Raw genomic sequence first — 23416 nt, 5'->3', positions numbered from 1 at the left:
GAGACTCCTGATGCATCCCTTGCTTCTGCACTTGGCCTTCTAGTCTCTTCTCCATAGAGCAGCCAGAGTGATTCCTTTCTAACACAATTCAGAGCATGACACTCCTCTGTCCACACATCTCCAATGACTTCCCTTCTTCCTGAGAGGAAAACTAAAAATTCCTTAATCTGGTCCACAAAGTCCCAGGTGAGTGACCTCAGCTGATCCTCTGGCCTTCTCTCACTGTCCTTCTCTAGCATCTCGGCCTCCTCACTGTCCACAGCAGGCCAGGGAGCTTCCTCCCTTCAGCCTTTGACCTTGCTATTCTCCACCTGGAAGCCTCCTTCCCAGATATCCACAGAGCTGGCTGCATCTACAGTTGGCATGGCATGGGTGTGAAGGAAGGAGTCAAGGCTGACAGTGAGGTTTTTGAGCTGGAAAACTCCTAGAGTGGAATTATCATTTACTGAGCTTGGGAAGGCTATAGGAGAAATAGTTTGGTGGCAGTGTGTGGAGAGGAACGAAAACATGTGGTTTCTCCCTCCTTTCTTTCAGGTCTCCCTTCCATGCCACCCTCTCAGAGCCTTGCCCCGATGACCTTATTTAAATGGATGCCTTGGCCTCTCCAGCCTTCCTCATCTCTTTACTATGTTTTGTTGTCCTTCATAGCTCTTATTGACACTTGTCACAATACACATCTATTTATTTATTGTCCGTCTTCCACTCTAAAACATAGATGGGACTTTGACAATTTTATTTATTATTTACATATCCGACACCTAGATTAAGACCAGGCAGTTAGTAGGCAGGAGGTACTTGTTGAATGCATACATGCATGAATGAATGAGTATACACACATACACCACAGACACATACACACACCTCTATGTGTATACTTTCTAAAATCACTTGCTCTGTTCCAGGCACCATTGCAGGTGTAAACCTTTTACCAGCATGATGTTTATTAATTACAACAATCCAGTAAAGTAGGCACTATTATCTCCATTTTACAGAGGAGAACAAGAGGCTCACTGGATAAGCGGCCAATATCCCTGAGCTGGAAAGTGAAGACTTGAGAGTCCAACTCAGTTTGAATGACTCCAGGGACGTTGACTTTCACTACACCAGAATGCCTTGTCCAGGCCCATAGACCTACTGACGACATATACAACTGCCTTGAGGTTTCTGGAGGGAGGTTTCAGAGAGTGATGTTGAAATAACAGGCTTGTGTGTCAGTCACGGGGAGTTAGGACAGAGCAGTATTTACTGTCGACAAGTCAAAACGGCTTACCCTGGGTGACTAAACTGAACGCCTTCAGATTTTCCCTTTAGGAGGAAAAGGGAAACAGAGCAGAGCATGCGGAAAAAAGTGAAAGGTTCCTCTGGCAGGTCACCAGGCTTTCCTGTCAGGGCACTTCTGACATGCCCCTTGCAGGACTTATTACTCGTAGAAGGGAAGATGAATCTCATGGCACATTGTCTTGGGACATTTCCAAGGGAGGAGCTGGGGGAGGAGGGGACAGACTTAGCAATGGGTGGACCCAAAGTTAGCTTTGAGAATCCAGTTTTCTAATCACAGCTATCTTGGGAGGTTACAAGGCAACTGACTATTCACTAGGAATCAATTACATTGACTCACTAGGTTGGGATTTGACATCTTCTTGCTACCTTCAAGTTCTCAGAAATAAATGGGGTGGGGATTGAGGTTCTGGGAATGGTAAGATTCTGATCCCTGGATGATGGCTAAATGGAAGATCTGCTTGGGGTAGAATTCCAATATCAACAGTTGATAAAATTCTGAGCTGTAGTAAGTGGCAGAATTCCATGCCCTAGTGAATAGTAGTATTCCATTATCACAGGCCATTGAGGACCCAGGCATGGAGGGCAAAATCTGGCAAAATGTGATGTGTAGAAGAATGGCAGGTGTCCTTGAAATCTGCCTAGACTCTTTCTTCCCCCTTCCAGAATGGCAGGTGTCCTTGAAATCTGCCTGGCCTGTTTCTTCCCCCTTCCAGCTTGGTTCAGAAAGTTTTCTTAGGCCCGAGGACTAGAGATTTGCAAACTCCTGGATGCTGGCTCTGCAATTAGAGCTATTTATGACTCCCAGGGCAGATCATGCATTCCTTCAACAAACCTACACAGTTTGGGTGCAGCAGACATTTTTGTTTGCCTACCAATAGTCATGCTGAAGTTGGTTTTTCCCTTACTTGACTCTACTTATGTAGGTTGAATGAGCCAGATGCATGCTTGCCTGCCTCCTTTGCAGCAGGGCAGCTATGTGAGCCAGCTCTGCCCAGTGAGATTTAAGGAAACTCCTGGTTATCTAGGATAGATTTATCTTCCTTCCTAAAAGGAGAGATACATGGCAAGTGCTCTCTCTCTCTCTCTCTCTCTCTGTTCTTCTCTCTCTCCTCCTGCTACACCACTCTCTCCATCTTGATTGCCTTGTGTTTCTTGCCTTTAAATGCAGTTATGTGAAATCGTGATTCCTAAAGATAGGAATGCCAACCTGAGCCCATGAGGGAAAGACTGAGAGAAGGTGAGAGACATCAATCTAATGCTTTGACGTCACAAGCTATTCTATCAGCTTTAGAGCCCCCACTTCCAGACATCTTGCTAAATGTATATGTCTTTCCAGCAGCTTTAAGTCATTGGTCTGATTTATCTTACTTTTGGCATTTTCCTCCTCAGAAGCATCCTCATCTTCCATGTGAGGATTATTCAAAATATTTCTGAATGTGCAAGTTTCTACTGGGAACTGGTACAGGTTACAGGTTAGTGAATTTCCAGTTTGTAAATACTGAGTGGCTGGGAATCAACTCTCCAAGGGCCCATGTTAGGAAAGTATCATGTGTCTCAGACACAGACACAAACAAGGTTAGGAAGCATTGCAATTGGTCATCTGTTGGGTTCAATACAATTGGCAATATTTTTGTGTGGGGACTGTGCTTTATTCATTTCTGTATCCACAGGCCCTGAAACATTAATATGCATTCAGGAAATATTTACTAGTAGAAATTGGGCTGAGTACAGGAAGCTTTGACTTCTGGTTGTGGCTTTATTGTTAACATACTCTGTGACCTTGGTCAAGGCATATTATTCTTCTAGGCTTTAATTTCCTTCTCCAGGGTGGATTGAGAGTTTTGAATTAAATTTTCCCTGTTCTATGACTACAACCAATGGGCAATGGAGCTGGAATTAAGAGCCTCAAGCTTAGAGGCAGACGGTCATCTGCTCTGGACAGGTCCACATACTTTATTCTCTAAACCATGTAGAATATTAGAAGTCAAATTGAGCAAAAGATGAATCAATGCATTATAAGACACAAAATGAAAATATGAGAGCATAATGAATCTTCTTGAGAGTGTGACTGTTGCTCAAGAGCCTTACAGGATAAACACCCAAGAAAAAAATGGCAAATTTGGCAAATGAGGAAACTGAGGCATGATGAAGCTGTTCAGTGTCACACAAATAGCAAATAAAAGGCCAAGATTCAACTACATGCACAAAGTTGAATCTTGTTTGTGCCCACGTAGTCTGCAGCCTACAGACTTTGCTGCAATTAATGTTGTATGGCATGTATTTTTTTTCTCATTTTCTTTGGTTCAGAAGTTGCTGCAATTTTCTTCTTTTATTATGTGTTTTGGCCAAACTCACATGTGTGCTTATATGTGTGTATTTGGTGTATGTATAGTGTATGTGTGCTGGGTACTTGGTAGTTGCATTTGGTGGAGGAGTACTTATTCTATGTGTAGGGTGAAAAAGAAAGAAAGAGTCCTTTAACTCTTTTAAAGTATTAATACTTAAAACAAACTTGTCTTCATTTTGTTGACAAGTTCTTGTTTTTATGGGAATAAGTGCAGTGGAATTAATGACATTTCTGGTATAGAATGCATATGCCATCGGAGATCAGATTGGAATGACTCGTATTAAGCAGGAAAGATCATGGGAGAGGTAGGAATTGAACTTGGTTAGTGGGACTTGGAGAATATTCTGGAAGAGAAGGTTTTATTTAAGAATACTTCTTAAATAAAAGGATTTAAGAATTATTGAGTAAAACTATGGACTGTTTTCCCAGAAAAGGCATTAGGGTCAAGATCCCTGAAGTTCAATCTTGGCTTTTCTACTTTCTGGTTGTGTGACCCTGGATAAAGAAATTAAGCCTCAGTTTTTTTCATTTGTCAAATTAAATATCTCTTAGAGCTGTTTTGAAAACATTTAATTAATGCATGAAATGTGTTTAGATGAATGCCTGGTATATAAGTAAACACTCAGCCAATGTTAGCTATTAGTATTTTGGAGAGTTTTGAAGTTTGTGCTTGACTTGATGTCTATCTTTTCATAGTTAAATAGCTATTGAGATTTCTCAGTGATTGCTATTGATTCTAAGTTAAAAAATCAGTTGATACTAAATGGCAGCAGGTATGCAGATAGTGGTGGTGGGTTTGGGAGTGAATCTTTATTTCTGATATTTCAAGATGGTTCATGAATATCTTGCTTAAATCCTAGCCAGGCAATATACCAGGGAACTCTGTAGATTTCTTCTTCCATGCTAGACGTTTACTGGAAGAGTGCAGAAAATTAAACTTAAAAAATAAGCTTTTATACCTTCTAGACCAGGAGATTATGGACGTACAATAGAAGAACACACCCAAGAAAACCGGGATCAAAGGCAAAATATGTGGTAGAAGCAATGAATGCCAAAGACATGTTCTTATTTGTTACTATCTGGACCTCCTAGAAACTGAGCTTGTCATCCTAATTCCTGACACTGGCACTCCTATCTTAAACTCTTCAATGGTTGCCTCTTTAGACTTATAGGATAGATGCTTATCTCTGAGGAACAGCATAAAAACCATCTATGATTGGAACCTGCAAACGTCTCTAACTTCATCCCTGTGCTCCCTTCCACCCTCCACTTCCCTGGTGAGACGTGTGTGGTTTGTTGTCATGCTGTTCCAGCTCTCTGTGCTTTTGCTAATGCTGTTTCCACTGCCTGACTGCTTCTCCCAACATCTTTGGCTTTTATTCATCTTTCAAGTCTTAGCTAGGTGTCATTTCCTCCAAAAAGCATTCCTGAGTCCACATTTGGCTTCATTGTCCTTTTCTTTATTCCCAGAGTAACTTGTGGGCTTTCTCTCTCAGCATGATCATTTGTTTGTACATCAGTTTTTCTTTGCAGCCTGGGACTCCTTGAGGATAGGGCAGAAGTACTCATCAAATATCTGTTGACTAGAGGTATTACCAGAGCAGCCCTTTGGAAGTATCCAGCTGAGCCAGTGGCGTGTTTTCCACCACTAGGGCAGAACATCTTTCCCAGTTGCTTCCATTTCAGCTGTTGCCAATCCTTTCACTAGTGCCAAGGTTGAAAACCTGGGAGGCATCCTGATTCTTCACTTTCCTTCACAGCCATGCCATAGCCATCAGCAGGTCCTGACAACTCCATTTTCAAGTGCATCCTTAATCTGACCACTTTCACCACCTCCAAGTCTACCCTTGTGGTCCGAGTCATTTCTGATCTCTCAATTTATCTCTCTGCTTCTACTCTTGTCAATTCTCCTCCTCCCCACCACTACACACACACACAAAGAGCCTATTCTGCATGTAGCAAATAGGGCGATCCTTGTAACAAAACAAAACAGATGATGGTTCTCTTCTGTTCACCCACCTACCTCCATAGCTTTATGTTACCCTTCAAACACAATTCAAACTCTTGATATCCTGGCCTACAAACTCCACAGGCCATGAAAACCCCTCTGGCCACCTTTTACCTCATGTTCAATGTTGCCATTGCAGCCACATGGACTCATGGTGTTCTCGAATTTCCTGAAACCATCCTGATCTCAAGGCCTTTGCATAGGTTGAAATACTGTTCCTCCACTCTCTACCTGGATCACTCATCAGTCAGGGCTCTGAGGCTTAGGGGAATCTTTTCTGACCACTTCTCTAAAATAGCATGCCACTTGCTCATCTCAGAGCACTTTCTAAAATAGCACCTGAATTTGATTTCCTTTACCCCACTTATTGCCAGCAGTAATTACCTTTTTATAAAAAAAATTGATGATGTGTGCACTATCTGTCTACCCCCGGTAAGATCCTTGATGGCAGGAACAGAAGTTTCTTCACTGCTGTGGACACATGGTCTCACATTCAGTGAATGACTAGATCAATGGAGTAATATCTATGATAATCTTATGGTGCTTGAAATTCTCTTTCCTTCACATTCTTATATTTGGATATTATAATGATGAGAAACAGTGCTGTAGAGTCGATCAGCAGGCTGAGAGCTTATGATATTTTACTTCTTGATGTAGGATTCAAATATATTGTTTTTAAATCTTGAAATAACATTTGTGTCAGTCCATTTTTATGTGAGTTCCCCAGGTTACTCAGGGAAAATTTACCTTCTTGGGGCTTGTTCTTTCTTCACATTTCTGGATCATTGGAAATGCTTATGAGGTGGAAAAAAGGCAAAGTCAAGAGGTCAATAATTATTGAGTAGTGAATCTGCAGATTTACATAGCAATGCAAAAAGTCCCACTGTGTCTGTGTTCTCAGAGTATGTACTAACACTATAAAACTCACAGGCAGTAGAGAAAAATCCACAGAGATGTGAGTGGAAAGAGAGAGAGCTACAGTTTGAATACAGTGGAGATGTCGGTTCTAAATTTAGCAGATAAAGAAAACAGGGCATATAATCAAAATGACCCTTGGAATTTCTAACTGGGACTGTAAATCATCATGGAATGCATATTGTTCACGTAATCCTTTTACAGTGATATTTACTATTAAATATATATGGTTATTTTTATATAAATAACAAGTGATATAAAAATCAATGTCCTTAAATGCTAGACTTATGTGCAGTTACTTATACATTACTTTATCGGTAATATAAGTAAAGTAAGTGATTACTGTGATAGGTGGAGGCAGCAGCAGTCCCTGTTTCCCATCTTACACTTTTTCAGAATAGATATTCCCATGGTAGAATCATGGGCTGACACTATCACATTATAAAATTTTCTCTGGTTCTGTCTCTTCCCCTCAGGAACACACATGGATGATTCTTATTACTTTATGCCCACATTAAATAATTGTATACACCATGAACTGGAGGCCTTGTGTTTTGAGTGAAAAGCTTTGGATTTGAGTTTGTGTTTCCAAACACACTTCTGAGGTAGAAATTGTCAAGAGCTTTCCCAAACTCTTTTTTTAATCCTCCTGAGCTCACCATCTCTGGGACTGTCTTGCAATTGGACAGCCATGCAATTGAGCTTCAGCCAATGAAACATGAGTGGAGGGCGTGACACACAACCTGCCATGTTCAAGCCTCCATACTCTTTCCCTCCTCCAGCTTTGTGCTGATGAACATGGTCACCTTGAAAGGTGTGTTGAATATGGCAGAGCCAGAAAATGCAAGGAGCTTCTTCTCTGGATCACCACTTGAAGAAGAGCCACTTGCTCCTCAGGAACCCTATTTTGGACTGACGTAAGTAAAAAATTAATGTATCTTTACTTAAAATCACTGAGATATGGGGGTTTATTTGTTATAGAAACAAGCATTGCTTTAACTAATGCGCTATTTGTATGACCTTGCACAAGCTACTTAACCTTTCCGTGTCTTAGTCATTGTTCCTCCCATAGTGGGGCCCCTCCCAACATAACCAGCTCAAACATTTAAAAGAGGCAATTGAGGAAAGTTCCATGAAGAGACTATTTACAAAGATGTGGGCAGAACTAAGGGAAACTCACAAGGGAGGGTGAAGCATCCCAGGGTTAGTGGCAGCAGAGACCCATTTTCACTCTAAGCCTAGGACTCAGGGCACAGGGAGGAAGCATTTACTGAAGTCTGGGGAGATGCTAGAGCTGCAAGAAAGAGCTTTCTGAAGGGAGCTGCAACTTTCAAAGGAAGATTGCAGCCAATTTAAGGCCTGACAGGAAGGAATTTAAAGTAATAAAAAGTCAGATTCTCCTACCTTCCGATCTTCCTGCTAATAGGTCTCATTGACTAAACCCAACTAGGAGCCAGAAGGCAAGGAGCTCATTTACGTAGTTTATACAAGTCATCTTCCTAGGGTGTGTGCCAAGTACAGAAGGGTAGAGAAATGACAAACAAGGGACAAACAAGGAATTGCACGCACAGTTTTTTAACCTACAAATTGCAATTCTTAGCCTCTACCTTATGGAGGCTGCTTGGAATTATGGGTCTCGATATACAAAACACCTAATAAGGAAATCAGAAGAAAATGAGTTCCAAATAAAATACAGCTTTTAATATTCCTCTTTGCCATCTGCTATGAAACCACTGTCCATTGATTTTTTTTAACTTTTTTCCACTGATTATTTTTTTGTGTTTGTGTGTTGGTTTGTTTTAATCTCCCAGCTAACTGTTAATGCCAGGAGTTAAATTCCAGAATGAATTTAACTCTGGTGCTTCCTGGAGACTGGCATCTTTATTTCTCCATGATTTGTGTTTGTCCATAGGTGGGGCTTGAGAAAATATCTAGTTTCAGAGTCCTTGGAAGATTCTTCCTTCTTAGCTTCAGTCACTCATTGTTATTTTCAGGGTCATGTTGCCAGGAACTTCTCCCTGCTGCAGACAGCAGCCATGTCTAAACCACTCTGCTTTCTGCCTGCCTGAGTTTCGCTACTTCATATTTTATGCCTGCTTTGGGGTTTTTATTGGATAGCATTACCTTATCATGAATGGGAGGAGTGGGTCTTTCCCAGTAAGTGATGAGAGATTGGCATCCTTGTGAGGCAGGCTTGGTGTAATAAAGAGGATCCAGGGTTCTAATCCCTCCTTTGCCTTTTACTTACAGTGTGACCTTGAGAAATTCCTTCTCTGTCTTTGAGACTTAGCTTCCTTATCTACAACATGCAAGGCTCACTGTGCCTGTCTTCCTGGGTAGATGTGGGGAGACAATGAAATACATATGCATAGAAGTCCAGGCATTTCCCTTCACACATGGCAGGCATTCAGAAAATCTTATCGAAAAATAAAAAATTTCTAAGGTCCAGTGGAGATCCTGACCTTTTGATTATACTAGAGCTAAAAATGAAGCTGATAAGGTGCCCCAGGTCCAAAAAAGTTCAGTCCTCCTAGGCAACAAAGTGTCCTTCTTATTCTAATTGATGCCCTTTTTATTTTAAGTGTGACTGAAACATTTTTCTAGGGTAAATTGAGTTCACAGGTGTCGAGTCTATTCCCTGTGATTCCTCAGTGGTAGGATGGGAGGAGAAAAAAAAAATCACATTGAAACATACCTTTTGCATAGAGCAATGTAAAAAACACACATCCAAAGATGCAAATGCCAAGAACAGAAGAGCCTCAATTTCTGGGAATCCTTTGGCTGGATTCTGTTACTTTTTCTATTTTTCCATGTGCGACATACGGCACCCTCCTTTTTCTGAGTATTTCTGGAATAACTTGTCATTTGGGGAGTCTGGGATCCAGAATCACTTGGGTTAGAGCAGAACAGTCATGAGTCTAAACTCCAGCCCTCTCTTTTACTTTGGAGAGTTACTTGACAAATCTTTTGCACCTATGGAATAAACATCATAGTCACTTATCTCAGAGTTTGCTTAAAGATTAGAAAAATAATATAAATGAAGTCCTTAATAGATGTGCTTAAGAAAGAATGTTCACTAGTGGTATCAATTATTGTTGGAAAGGCACAATTATCACATTTTCGATCTAGGAAAAAGTCTAAGGCAATGTAATCCATTGCTTTCATTTCATGTCTAAAGAAACTGAGGCTTAGGAAGGGAGTTAGGACTAATCAAAGGTCACCCCATTAGTTTGTAGAACCCAGGTTTCTTGATCTCCACTGGGATTTCCTAGCCATAGAAACACCATTGTATATAAAAGTGTCACCAATGAGCAAATAGCAGAAAGCCAAGCCATGAATAAATTTATGACAGTCTTCTAACTTAGATGCCATCTGCAGAAAACTGGAAATTTGGGCAAGTCTCCTAACTACCACTGGTATGCCTAATCATTAATCCCTGTTGGGTTTCAGAATGCCCTGGAGATTTTGTTGTCATTTGATTCATCAATCGGAAAATGAGTCTCAGTTTTTGGCGATGCAGTTTCATAGCAAATTTGGAAAGATGTGATTATTACCCTCTATTTCATGTCCTTCCAAGGAGCTGGTCCAGGGTAAATAGGTGCACATCTTTGAATCAAGAGTCATGAATAGGTGCATTATTACTGAGTGGACTTAAGTTCCTAATGTTCACTATGAATAATGAGTCTAATGTGAAATCTTAATGCATTTAAGGTAGATATGATGTTCTTTTAAAAATGAATTTTCAGGGCCGGGCGTGGTGGTTCACGCCTACAATCCCAATACTTTGGGAGGCCAAGGCAGGCAGATCACCTGAGGTCAAGAGTTCGAGACCAGCCTGGCCAACATGGTGAAACCCCATCTCTACTAAAAATACAAAAATTAGCCGGGCGTGGTAGTGGGCGCCTGTAATCCCAGCTACTCAGGAGGTTGAGGCAGGAGAATTACTTGAACCTGGGAGGCAGAGGTTGCAGTGAGCCGAGATCACACCACTGCACTCCAGCCTGAGCTATAAAGGAAGGCACTACCTCAAAAAAAGAAAAAAAATTATCCGGGCCAGGTGCAATGGCTCATGCCTGTAATCCCAGTACTTTGGGAGGCCCAGGCAGGAGGATCCCTTGAGCTCAGGAGTTTGAGACCAGCCTAGACAATATGGCAAAACCCCATCTCCACCAAAAATACAAAAATTAGCCAGTCTCATAACCTGGTCTCAAAATAAATAAGTAAATAAATAAAATTTTAAAAAATTAAATTAAAAAATGAATTATCTGTATCATGGGGAATGGTTAATGCTCACATTTTTGTGGAATATGTGAGGGAATGGTGAGGGCCGAACTATGCCGTTAGCGGTCAAAAGAGGTTTTGTATCAGGACAAATAGGATGTCTTGAAGAAAAACTACAGCTACCATCAAGTAGCACTCTAGGAAAAGGTAAAAAGGAGGAAAAAAGCAAGTATTTATTGAATACCTACTACGTGCCACACATTTTACCACACTTAAAAAATTATTACTCAATTATGTTACTTTTCTTTTCTTTCTTTTTTTTTTTTTTTTACTGTGTCCCAGGCTTCTTTATTTAAGAAAAAAGTGATACATGATGTGGGATTAAAATCAAGAGCATCATTGAACTTCACCTTCCCTCCAACCAGTTGCCCCAAACTCCCCTGCCCCCACCCTTAGTGTTCCCAATTCCTTCCTTAGTGAATGAAGAACTTAATCCCAAAAGCCCTGCCACAAACTCCAGGTTCTCTTTCCCTAGCTCCTCCCCTCCCCTGTTCCCCATTCCTAGAAGGGCAGGCACCTCAGTTTGAATGCATGGGAGAGCCCAGAGTGATGACGGAGACTGGGGGAAAGACTTCCCCCTCAGGGAAAGGGACTGAGGAGTACAGTGCAGTGAAGTGAGGGCTCCCATAGCCTGGGGTACCAAAATGGGGCCCTGGGGCCGGAGGAAAGGACACTGGTCCCCCTGAGAAAGGAGACCCAGCAGCCTCAAAATCCTCTCGTTGTGCATAGTCGCTGCTTGATCGCTTGCCCTTCTGGCGCCGGTTACAGAACCACACTCGGACCACATCCTTCTCGAGCCCAAGCTGCTGGGCGATGTGGCTGATCTGCAGTGTGGGTTTCGGGCACTGCAGGAACAAATTCTCCAGGTTGCCTCTCACTCGGTTCTCGATACTGGTTCGCTTTCTCTTTCGGGCCTGCATGAGGGTTTCTGCTTTGCATATCTCCTGAAGATTTTCATTGTTGTCAGCTTCCTCCACCCACTTCTGCAGCAAGGGCCGCAGCTTACACATGTTCTTGAAGCTAAGCTGCAGAGCCTCAAAGCGGCAGATGGTCTTTTGGCTGAACACCTTCCCAAATAGAACCCCCAGGATGAGCCCCACATCGGCCTGTGTATATCCCAGGGTGATCCTCTTCTGCTTCAGGAGCTTGGCAAATTGCTCGAGTTCTTTCTGCAGAGCTTTGATGTCCTGGGACTTCTCCGGGTTTTGCTCTAGCTTCTCCTTCTCCAGCTTCACGGCACCAGGGGGGACGGTGCAGGGTTCCGGGGAGGCCCCATTGGAGTTGCTCTCCACCCCGACTCCTGCTTCGCTCTCAGGCTGAGAGGTCTCCAAGCCGCCTTGGGGCACTAGCCCCACTCCAACCTGAGGCCCACAGTACGCCATCCCCCCACATAACTCATACGGCGGGGGGCAAGGGGGAATCCCCCACACCTCAGAGCCTGGCCCAACCCCCGGCCCGATTCCTGGCCCTCCAGGAGGGCCTTGGAAGCTTAGCCAGGTCAGAGGATCAACCCAGCCCGGCTCCGCCCCCCATGGCCCATCACCCCCACCGCCTGGAGGGGGCGAGAAGGCGAAATCCGAAGCCAGGTGTCCCGCCATGGGGAAGGAAGGCGCCCCAAGCCGGGGGCCTGGTGAAATGAGCAATTATGTTACTTTTCATTGAAAGCTCTGTGACCGTATGGCTGTGTGTGTCATACGCTCACTAGCAATGAACACAGTGCCTGAAGCATCATTAAATGTTGACTGAATGTGTTAGGAACTCTTCAAAAGTAATCTCTTTAAATCATAATCACCTGTGAATTGACAATTATTATCTTCACTTTGTGGATAAGAATGCCAAGATTTGGAAATGTTGAATAATGTGTCCATTGTGTCAGTGGCCGATCTGAAATTCCAGTGTAGGCACCATGATTCCTGAGTCCATTCTGCTTCTGCCATACCATGATGCTAGATTCTTCATGGGAGCCATCTACTTGTGTTCTGTGCTATGGAATGGTGTGTCCTTCTTTCTGATTCTTATTTCCTGCAGATTGTGGGGAAACGGTTCTACCATTAACAACCAAAGGCAAAATGGGCTGCAACCAAAGAAATTCCCTGACCTAATTCTTTATAGTTGGTGACAAGTGTGCTGTAGTGACGGGAAATAGCACTCTATGAAGATTTAATAGTGCAAATTCTACCCTCCTGACAACCCCTTTCTTCAGCACTGGATGGGTGTATTAGTTGTTTATCATTGTGTAATAGATCACCTCAAAACTTAATAGCTTAAAAACAACTAACACATAGCTCACAGTTTTGTAAAATAGCAATTGTGGTGTGGCTTAACTGGGTATCCTGGATAAGGGTATTTCATGAGGTTGTGGTCAAGATGAGAGCAGGGGATGTTGTCATCTGGGAGCCTAACGGGGGCTGGAGGATCCACTTTCCAAAATGTCTCACTTACTTGGCTGTTGGCAAAGGCCCCGGTTTCTTGTTGGCTGTTGGTAGGAGGCCTCAGTTGCTCACCATGTGGGCTTTTCCATAAAGCTGCTTGAGTGTCCTCACAACATGTCAGCTGGATTCACCCAGAGAGAATGACCTAAGAAAGAGAGAGCAGGGAAGAAGCCACTGCGTTCTTTATGACCTAGTCTCTGAAATCGCACACTTTTACTTGTGCCATATTTTATTCATTAGAAGTGAGTCACATTCTGTAGGAGGGTAATTAGCCTTCACCATTTGGCAGGAGGACTATCAAATAATTGGTGGGCATATTGTAAAGCTATCATAATGGTTCTGGTAGGCCATGTTTTTGCCTCTGCCACTCAAATATTGGATGTCCATTTCTTAAAGGGATTGTGAAAAGAGAAGGGGCTTTAGAATAAGACAGGCAAATGTTTAAACATTGAGTAAATTTTTAATGTCCTTAACCCTTGTTTCTCAACCATAAAATGAGAATGATCATATCAAATCTTCACAGTTTTGCAGGATGGGTTGCAGGTAATAAAGTCCTAGTGCAATGTCTGGCACAAGGTAAGTGTTTAAGCAGTGGGCTCCTTTCTGTTACATAATGTGGCAACCCTCTTCTCCCCTCTCTACCTCTCAAATATGTGTCTGAGTCAGAACACCAAAGTCACACACACACAGGTACAAAACAATTCCTGATTCTATTCCATTTCCATCATGCCATGCTGCCAGTTTCTCCATGGGGCCATCTTTACTTCTGTAGTAAGGAATATAGTTACTTGTTACAGAAATTAGATTCCAGAATTGGGATATGAGTTGGAAAGGGAACTTAAACGTTCTCCTTCAGTCTTGCTCAAATTCTCATGCTTATTTGACGTTCTTGAGTGTTTCCAATAAGATAGATATGACTTTACCTCTAGATTCTCCCACTTGTTATCCTGCCAACCTTAAGTCCCCTTTCTCAGGGTAATAACTTTCTGCTCAATTCTGTTGTGAGGTTTAAGTCAAGTAAGATGTGTGTAATTTTCTCATGAAACAGTAGCTATTATTTATTGTTTATCATTTTATCATTAACTTCTGTTCCTTTAGACCTGACTAAAATATTTCTAGTGTCATTTGAAAATATTGTATTATATCGGGTGTTGTGTGTGTGTGTGTGTGTGTGTACCACCTTTTTTTAAGAAGCACAAAATGTGTTTGACCAGTTACTTAGATTATTTATTTCTCACAAAATGAAGTCAAGTCCATATTGTCTCATTTAGCAGAAAAGTGAAATAGAAGGTTAATAGGTTGGCCTAAGCCTCACAGCTGGTAAGTATAGCTACCTAGATTTGAACCATGAAAATCGTTTGAGGTGATGCTCTGCTTTATTTAATCTGTTCAGACAATGGCATTGTGGTTTCATGGGGAGACAGGCTAGATTTTGTGACCTGAACGTCTACTCGTTTGACTATGTAGTACAACTAAAAATTGTGAATCCGCTAACTAAGTCTTTGTGTTTAATTTAGTTTAGTGCAATAATAATTTCTAGGGATATCACAGGCCAGGCACTGGGATAGATAATGAGGTACAGCTAGGTGAAGGGGGCAGGATGGAAATGCTGAGGTACAGAAGGGTCATAAAGCCCATTGTAATGTTCCATTTTTGTCTCTAGATAATGACAAGCAGACAGTAACACACTGGTAGCAAACATTGAAGACTGGTGGCCCAGGGGCTCTGATGTTGATGAAATTCCTGATGAAATTGAGTTTGGTAATTATACAGTTGACCTGCTTGAAAGAAAGATATCACAGTAGAACAATTTCCTTGGTTCTGCCATTTCATTTATCACCATTGTTTGTCTTTGTTGTCAGTATTAACATCAATTATTAATCTTAATGCTCATTTTCCTTCCTAGCCTTCTTTCCTGTCTGACATGTGGAATCTCTTGCTATTAAATTGAGAGGCAGGTGGAAACATTAGTCCTTCTTACGTCATTGGTCATTATTTCTTCTGAACGAAGAGTTTTTTTCAGTGGGGGCAGGACAATTGGAAAAATCCATTCCAAGTGGCATAAAGACTGGTTTCTTTGCTCTGTACAAAGTATCCCAGTATCACTTAAGTAGCTATTTCTCTGAGGTTGGACCTCAACTAGAACCATGATGGTTGGATGCAGAGAAACTGGCAAATAGGTTAAATTGAAAGCAGGTAGAAATCACAACACTTGGGATGGCAAAAACAGCTAGCTGCCTCCCAAGATCTGCTCTCCCTTTCTGTCTTAGTAACCTAACCTCATTTTATATAAGATAGCAGGCCATCCAGCTAAAAGACTATATTTACTAGTCTTCCATGGCACTAAGTTGTGACCAATGAGAATCAGCAAAAATACAGCGTGAAACTTTTGGGGAGGCTGTTTAAAGGAAGCTGAGTTAACAGGAACTCTCCCTTCCTCTTCAGGCCATTGCCCTTTTCCTTCTAGCCTACAACATGGATGTAATGGTAGCACTCCAGAAGCCATCTTGAACTGTAAGTCAACATTAGGCAGAAGCTGCAAGCGAGATGGTGAGGCAGAATGAAGAAGCTTGGACCCCTGATGACCATTATATCATGCTCAGACTTCCCACCTCTGATCTTCTAGTATGAGAGAGATATTTATATACCCAAGTTATTTAAATCATTGATTTTTTTTAGAGTTTCTGTTACATGAAGCTGGTTCTCACCATAAAAGATAAGACTGGAAGTGGCTAGGTGGGGTAGAGGGGTTTGGAGATGTTGAGACAGAGAAAAAAATCAAAGAAGACTCTTGGGTTATTTGGGTGGTGGTCTGATTCACTGAGAAATAATACACAAAAGGAAAAACAAGATTAGAAGAGAAGAGAATTGACATAGTTTTGGAAATTTTAAGGTAGAGGGAGCTGCAGGACATTTAGGAGTGGGAGTCTTAGAGTCAGCTGGATATATGTGTTAGATGCTATAACGAAATATTAAGGAAGGAGATACAGGTTTGGCCATAACTATCATGTGTGTGATCTGTAAAGCTACTGTAGTGGACTAAATTACCCAAGAAGACTTAGATGGTGTTGAAAATTAACATAGAGAAGCTGGGTGAGCTTACTGCGGGACAACTGAGGGTGGTATACATCCAGGTAAGCAAATAATTATGATTCCAGTCAGGATGTGGTAAATACACCATTAATGATCCACTTAATTATTCTTCCCCTAGGTAGTCATATTTTGATAGGATGGCAAATAAACAAAATTTTAAGGAATTAGTTTCTCTCTTTCCAAGGGATCTAAGGCAGAGACTACTGCCAAACAGAGGCACAAATCACCAAGAGATAACTAGCATTGCCCCGTAAATTGATAGAATTTCAGGCACATCAAAGCCTTGTGATGTCTGAACCTATGTGTTCTAATCATAGGCGTGTAAGTTATTTCCACAGGAGTTGTACATTATTGCAATGGACTAATGAATTTCCCCTAACATCTTCAAGGAATAACAAAGGAGCGGACAAAGCATGGATCTAGAAATTAGTTAAGACTGAGTATGTTTGTTCTAACAGTTTCTACCTATACTATCCCACCTTAACCATCTCAGTCCCATTTTCTCATAGGAAAATGCAGTAATGTCTCTACTTCATGGTTCTACTGTGAGAAATACGGGATGATATATTTTAAGTATTGGAATAGTACCTGGCACATCAGACACCCATAATTCCTCATCTTATTTGGTTAACGAAAGTCTAAAGCCCCAGGAATCTGGGGTTCATTTTATAGATGCTTTCAGTTTGAAGATTCCATTATCATAGGGTTTTCTTGTCCAGAAGAGAAAGAACTTTAATGAAAAAACTTAAAAAGGAAAGAAATGGGGGTAGGGCTGGCATATTGCACTGCTCCATGGGATGCCATTTACATTATATTGATGCAAACCGCTGCCTTGGAATTGGGTAGTGTGCCCCCTGTATAACTGTAGGCAGTGACCCTGTTTGGAAGCTACCTCTTAAGATGTTCTTAATAATAATGTCTGTTATCTATTAAAATAAGAAAAGGTATGTCACCATGGGTTTTGTCTTTTGTTGTCTGTAGTTGTTGAGGTTGGACTTCTCAAGGCCTCTTAAGACCCTCACTTTCCCTACTCTCTGACATACACTTAGTACTTTCTTTTTGCTAATTTTTGCTTCCTTTTTTTTTTTTTTTTTTGCACATGCTACTCCCTTCTTCTGGAATTCTATCCTAATTTGGATTTCTCGTGTATCTCTATTTTTTTTTTTTTTTTTTTTAAGAATCAGCTCAAATGTTGCTCTTCTGGTTGTCTTCCCTGCCAGCTCTGGGTAATATTAAGTGTTCCCTCTCTCTACTGTCATGATGGTGTGGCCGTATCTTTGCCATTGCCCTTGTTTTAAAACTCAGGGTCCTTAGCCTGTTCTAGGAGGCTCAGTACAGTAATTATTTCTTCAGTTGCGTCTCTAGTCACTTTCCTCCCATGGTCCACCCAGAGTCAACACACTCTGTTCATATTGACTTTGGGCTTAATTTGAGCCAGGAAGAGAACTTCTTGCCATGGACTGGGGCCTATTTCTGGAGAAGAGCATGTGTAATCCTGCTCGTGGGTAGATAGTATGAACACCCCATCTTAGCCATGTTATATGCTTCATGTTTTAAAACCTCTAGACTTGTGATATCAAGTCGCCACATGTGGCTATTTAAATTTAAATTAATTAAAATTTAATAAAAATTTAAAATTCAGTTCCTCAGTTGCACTAGCCACATTTCAAGTGCTCAGTAGTCACATGTTGCTGCTTGTTACCATATTGGAAAACACAGACATAGTAAATTTCCATCAGTGCAGAAAGTCCTTTTTTTGAAACAGTCCTGCTCTGTCACGGAGGCTGAAGTGCAGTGGCACGATCTCTTTTCACTACAACCTCTGCCTCACAGGCTCAAGCAATTCTCATCCCTCAGCTTCCCGAGTAAATAGGACTACAGGTGTGTGCCACTGTGCCCAGCTAATTTTCGTATGTTTAGTAGAGATGAGGTTTCGTCACATTGGCCAGGCTGGTCTCGAACTCCTGGCCTCAAGTGATCTGCCTGCCTCAGCCTCCCAAAGTTCTGGGATTATAGGCGTGAACTACTGTACTCAGTGCAGAAAGTTCTATTAGACAGTGCTGCACTGGGCTTTTCAAATTTTTGAGAGAAAAGGTACCTTTTTGCTCCTGTTACTCAAAATGTTGTCCCAGGACCAGCAGCGGCTCTATCCACTGGTTGCTTTTATAAAACTGCAGGATCTCTCACCTACTAAGTCAGAACTACTGAGTCAGAACCTGCATTGTAACAAGATCCTCAGATGATTTGCACCTGAAGGATTCACGTTCTTGAAAGTCATGCATTACTACCTTAAGGATCACTAATTTCAGCTACCTGTCTCCAGATATTTTCAAGGTTTTCAACTATGCCTGCAAATTGAAAGCTCCTGAAGGGCCTTAAAAACTGTGGATATTTGGTTTCGCCCTCAGAGTTTGTGATATAATGGTTTGATGCATAGTTTTGGTACTGGGAGCTTGAAAATCTTCCCAGGTGATTCTAATGTGAAGCCAGGCTTGAGAACCACTGCTTTAGAAACAAGACAGAAAGGCTCACAGAAGGAAAGTGATGGATATAGATCACTAGTAATAGCCTCCCTTATTTCCTAACTCAGAGTCGAGTGCTCATTCTGCTACACCATATAGTCTCACCCTCAGTGGCCTGAATTCTAGAGAAGCACTCTGGACTGATCAAATTTTTTCCCCCATCTTTCTCCACTTGAAGCAATCACTCTGATATCCCCTAGTGGAGCTAACACAGGGACTGCATTGTAATTGCTTGTTAATGTCAAACTGGTAGCTGATGGATTTACCATCTGCAGAAGCCTGCCTTTAATGGCCAATGCTAGGTGTACAGGGCTTGAAACTCTTCTGGTGGAGATCAATACTCTATTATGGAAGCAACTGGCTGGCAGACACCACGGGGGCCTCACCTTTTGCCTTTAGGTGCCCTGGCTCTGCGAAGAATTCCAGTCAGAGTTGTGAAGGCTGTGGGTGAGGGAGCCACTGATGAGTCCAGCAGAGCCCCACAGTGCCACTGTGACAAGTCTGCGTGCAGGGGGACAGCAGCACTGGCCATTGCCCTGCATATTAAGAAGGCCCGCAGGCCAGGCATGGTGCATCATAGGGACAGGATGCACCATGTCCCTATGATGTCCAGTAAGTTACATCTTCCACTGCAGTCAGCCTCAAACGTGCCCTATAAGAAACTGCTGGAAAAGCAAAAGAAAAGAAAATTCACAGATACTATCCATTCCCTCTGTCCACCCTCCTTTTCTCTCTCTGAATTGTCCTCACTGCAGGTAAAGTGGAGCAGAGGGCAGAAAAGCAGCATTTATAACAATGATAATAACCAGTAGCCTATATTTATTGAGAGCATAGAATGTTCCCGGAAGTTGGCTAAGTTCTTTCGTTCATTTTATTACTTAATTCTCACAACAACACTATATGTTGGAGGTAGATTTTACCAAGGAGGAAACTCAGGCTCAGAGAAGTTACATGACTTGTTCAAGGTCACACATCTAAGAAGTGATAGAGCTAGAATTTGAGCTACATCTGTCACTCAGCAAAGCCCATGCTCTTTACAACCATGTAGTTCAGTTCCCCAAAACACATGCATAAGGCTCTCAGGGCATTACTCATGTGGAGAAGAAAACTGCTGGAAGGACAGCATTTTAATCACTATGCATGTTTCACTGTAGCATTTCCTGTTCTATTTTTAAATGTTAGGATCTAATTTATAAACATGCATTGCACCAATTTTATAGATGCCACTTGATGATTTTTCTCTTGCAGGTATATATATATATATATATATATATCCATATATATATATATATATCCATATATATATATATATCCATATATATATATATCCATATATATATATATATCCATATATATATATATCCATATATATATATATATCCATATATATATATATCCATATATATATATATATCCATGCAACCACAACTGAGTCAAAAATATAAAGCATTTCCACCATCCCGGAAGTGTCCTCAATGGTCCTTCCAACTCAGTCTCCACATCAAGAGATAACTAATATAATTTCTATCAACAGAGATTAGTTTGCTTGGTCTTGAATTTCATGGAAATTGAATTATACAGTATATATCTGGGTCTGGTTTCATTGGCTTAATTTATTTTTAAGATTTACCCATATTGCAGCATGCCTGAGTAATTTATTCCCTTTATTGTTGTATACTACTCATTATATGGATATATCACCATTTATTTTCCACTCTCCTGTTGATGAGCCTCTGGGTTAGTTCTCCATTAGAATCAACTGCTCCCTCCCTTCAGGGTAACCTTGGCCAAAGCTCTCAGTTCCTTCTCTACCTGGCTCTCTGACTCCAGGTTCCAGTGAATATTCTCTCCATTTGTCCCTTCTAGCCTTGAGGTATACATCTATAATGAACCCTGGGGTACTGCAATATTCTTAAGGTCTCCTGAGGTCCTGTTCACTTGGTAAATGGTGTCTTTTCTTTCCTTTTTTTCTTTCTTTTTTCTGTAAATTCCCACTGGGCAGGACAAGATTTTTATCTGATATGCTGTTACCAAGTCTCCAAATCCTAACACTCCTCACCTCTTCTTTCCACTCATTTGCTAGCAAAGTATCTTGCAGAAGGGAGGGTTACAAAAATGTTGGATGATAGATGGACTTGCTGAATGAGACACTAGCGTCTTATTCAAGTATCTGAAACTAAAGCTGATGAGTTTCCTACAAGTAGCTCCTCAGAGAAATCATTGTTTTCAATTTATTTCCCCCAAGGCAAGCTAAGAAGTAGACCTAGGCCATTGGCATTCATGGCACAGAACCCAGGGACAAGTTTTCACTGAGCTTTGTGAACTAAGATGGGCAAAGAGATTGCTGTGTTTCCTCATCTGGAAAATGAGTATAATACTACCTGGCCAGCCCCAATCCACAGATGTGTTGTAGAGTAGTGGATGTTAAAGCAAAATTCCCCTTAAATCATAGAGGATCTTTGCCATTCATTAGGATTATAAACAAAATTCTGAAATCTGCTATTACAGTTGAATTACCCCAAAAACATTCTTTGAGAATCTCACTGCATATGTCTACCATCACATCAGCCTGAGAACTGCTGCTGAATAGGCGCAGCTTTTGGTACAACCCAGTGCACATTAACTAGGATGTCATAGAATGTAAGGGTTCTCAGGAACGCATTTGAGCTGTGTATCTTCCATTCAGTTCTCTGATGCCATTTCCACTCTCCTCTACCTTGCTCTATTCCCCAGGAGACTGACCTGTATGGACTAAATCAACAGGTTCTCATGTCTCTGATGTCTACCTGGGTTCAGACAAGGGTGAGCACTAACAGAAGACTGAAGGGAGTAGGTGAGTGGAGTTGGAAAGATGACTCACATGCTCCCTCCCTGCAGGGTAACCTTGACCAAAGCTCTAGGCTCCTTTCTCCACTGGGCCCTCTTTGACTCCAGGTTTCAGTAAATACTCTATCCACTTTCCCCTTCTAGCCTTGATGTATAAATCTATAATGAACCCTGGGGTACTGCAATATTCTTAAGATTTCCTGGGGTCCTGTTCACACTTGGTAAATAGTGCCTTTTCTTTTCCCTTCCCTTCCCTTCCCCTTCCTCTTCCCCTTCCCCGTCCCCTTCCTTCCCCTTCCCCCTTTCCCCCTTCCCCTTCCTTCCCTTCCCTTCCTTCCCCTTCCCCCTTTCCCCCTCCCCTCCCCTCCCCTTCCCTTCCCTTCCTTCTTTCATCTCACTCTGTTGCTCAGGCTAGAGTGCAGTGGTTCCCTTCAAAGAGCCCTAATTTGGGTGTGCTCCTATTGCCTGCTAAGAGCCTGACTGACACATCAATCCGATCAGCTTTCCAAAGCCCTGTGTCCAAACATATCCAGTGATAATCTCCCTCTCCTTCATTTTTCTTTCTTATTACCTAGGAGAATCCTATGGAATTTATGAGGAATCCTGAGGTTTATGCTTTTTTTTTTTCTATACACCAACTCCACTGCTTTTGAACCCAGTTTTTTTCTTCTTTTTTTCTAGAATGTTTAAATGCTACACACATAAGACAACTGTTTCTATTTTACTAAAATGCAAGATAAAAGCTGACCACGGAACTGTCCAAAGGTTCTGTTTGGAGATGGCCCACCTAGGTCAGGGATGAAGTCTCTACAAAGTACTCGTCCTGAGTGAGTTGGAATTTAAAACCTTGGCCTCAGGTTCGTAACCTTGGTGCTCCAGGATTAGATTAGGCTTTTCTGAGTGGAATACTACCATTTCAACCATTCTAAGGAGTCAACGTTCTTATATGATTAACTACAGAAATGACTTTCAAGAGCTGGTGTGATCAGTCTAACCCTCTTGTTTAATGACCAAATCACTTTTACTATTTAATTCTGTTCTTCTGGGGGTGAGTTAAATGATAAAATATCTTAAGAAGGAAATCTTATTGAACAAATATTATCTTGACAAAACATTTGTCACAAATAGGTGAGTTTATCCTGGCTTCTTAGGGAAAGGAGGCTTGGAATATATTTAATTGTGTTAAGATAAGCTATTTTGCTTCTTTTCCCTTTCTACTGTATTCCCATTTGTAAATTTGGTCCCCAAACCATGCAGCTTTTACATTCAAAGTATACATATTTCACTCTCCTTTTTCCCCCTTTTGCTAGTGGCCTAAATCAGGATCCTATCATCTCTCATTCTGATCTATAGAAAAACTTTTTAATTAATCTCTCAGCAACCACCATCTCCCTCCTCTAATTCATACTCCATAATTCACCAAGTATTCTTCTAAACCATAGAAACACTTATGCCACACACCTTTTCTGAAATTGGCATTCTAGAGTTTATAATAAGTCCCTCTATTCCTCAAGGCCCCTGTCCCTGGAATGCTGCTGTCCTAGAAAGAATCCCAGCATTTTTCCGTCACTAAATAGAGGGTGCATCTTTATCCTGCAACATCTTATTTTAGGATAGAAGAAAACAGCCCCACATAGTGGGGTAAGAAACAGTGACATGATGCAATGGTCCTATTCATGGGGTTACGCAGGAGGCAATGGTGCCTAATGGT

General features: G+C 41.6%; 1 protein-coding gene and 1 long non-coding RNA gene across 3 annotated transcripts in view, besides 1 other annotated feature; one reads left to right on the top strand and one right to left on the bottom strand.

Annotated features, from left to right (window-relative positions):
* CASC8 (cancer susceptibility 8) overlaps positions 1-23416 on the top strand; it is a 192464-nt gene that overhangs the window by 53843 nt on the left and 115205 nt on the right. The window contains exon 5 of the long non-coding RNA NR_117100.1: positions 7334-7468. This is a non-coding gene — a long non-coding RNA (cancer susceptibility 8). The remainder of the gene's footprint in view (positions 1-7333; positions 7469-23416) is intronic.
* Positions 5898-6047: an enhancer, noted in NCBI's record as "active region_27941". NCBI's record gives its function as "activates an Ori minimal core promoter by ATAC-STARR-seq in GM12878 lymphoblastoid cells {active_cell/tissue: GM12878}" and the evidence as "EXISTENCE:reporter gene assay evidence [ECO:0000049][PMID:35858748]".
* On the bottom strand, positions 11073-14850 carry POU5F1B (POU class 5 homeobox 1B). 2 transcript variants are annotated; one of them, NM_001395745.1, is made up of 2 exons: positions 13275-14850; positions 11073-12854 (listed from the first exon to the last, which is right to left on the bottom strand). In NM_001395745.1, the coding sequence occupies exon 2, from the start codon at positions 12428-12430 to the stop codon at positions 11351-11353; it is 1080 nt and encodes a 359-aa protein (NP_001382674.1). In that variant the 5' UTR covers positions 12431-12854; positions 13275-14850; the 3' UTR covers positions 11073-11350. The 2 variants fall into 2 exon arrangements, with proteins under 2 accessions (NP_001382674.1, NP_001153014.1); NM_001159542.3 differs by lacking the exon at positions 13275-14850 and having other exon boundaries at positions 11351-12430.

The sequence above is a fragment of the Homo sapiens genome, chromosome 8 (assembly GCF_000001405.40).
Source record: "Homo sapiens chromosome 8, GRCh38.p14 Primary Assembly".
Classification (NCBI taxonomy): domain Eukaryota; kingdom Metazoa; phylum Chordata; class Mammalia; order Primates; family Hominidae; genus Homo; species Homo sapiens.
The sequence above is the reverse complement of the archived record's forward strand: the minus strand, read 5'-3'. Positions and strand labels throughout refer to the sequence as shown.

What these genes read in the sequence shown, in the direction of transcription:
- POU5F1B (NM_001395745.1), bottom strand. Translation starts at nt 12,430, where the DNA reads ATGGCGGGACACCTGGCTTCGGATTTCGCCTTCTCGCCCCCTCCAGGC.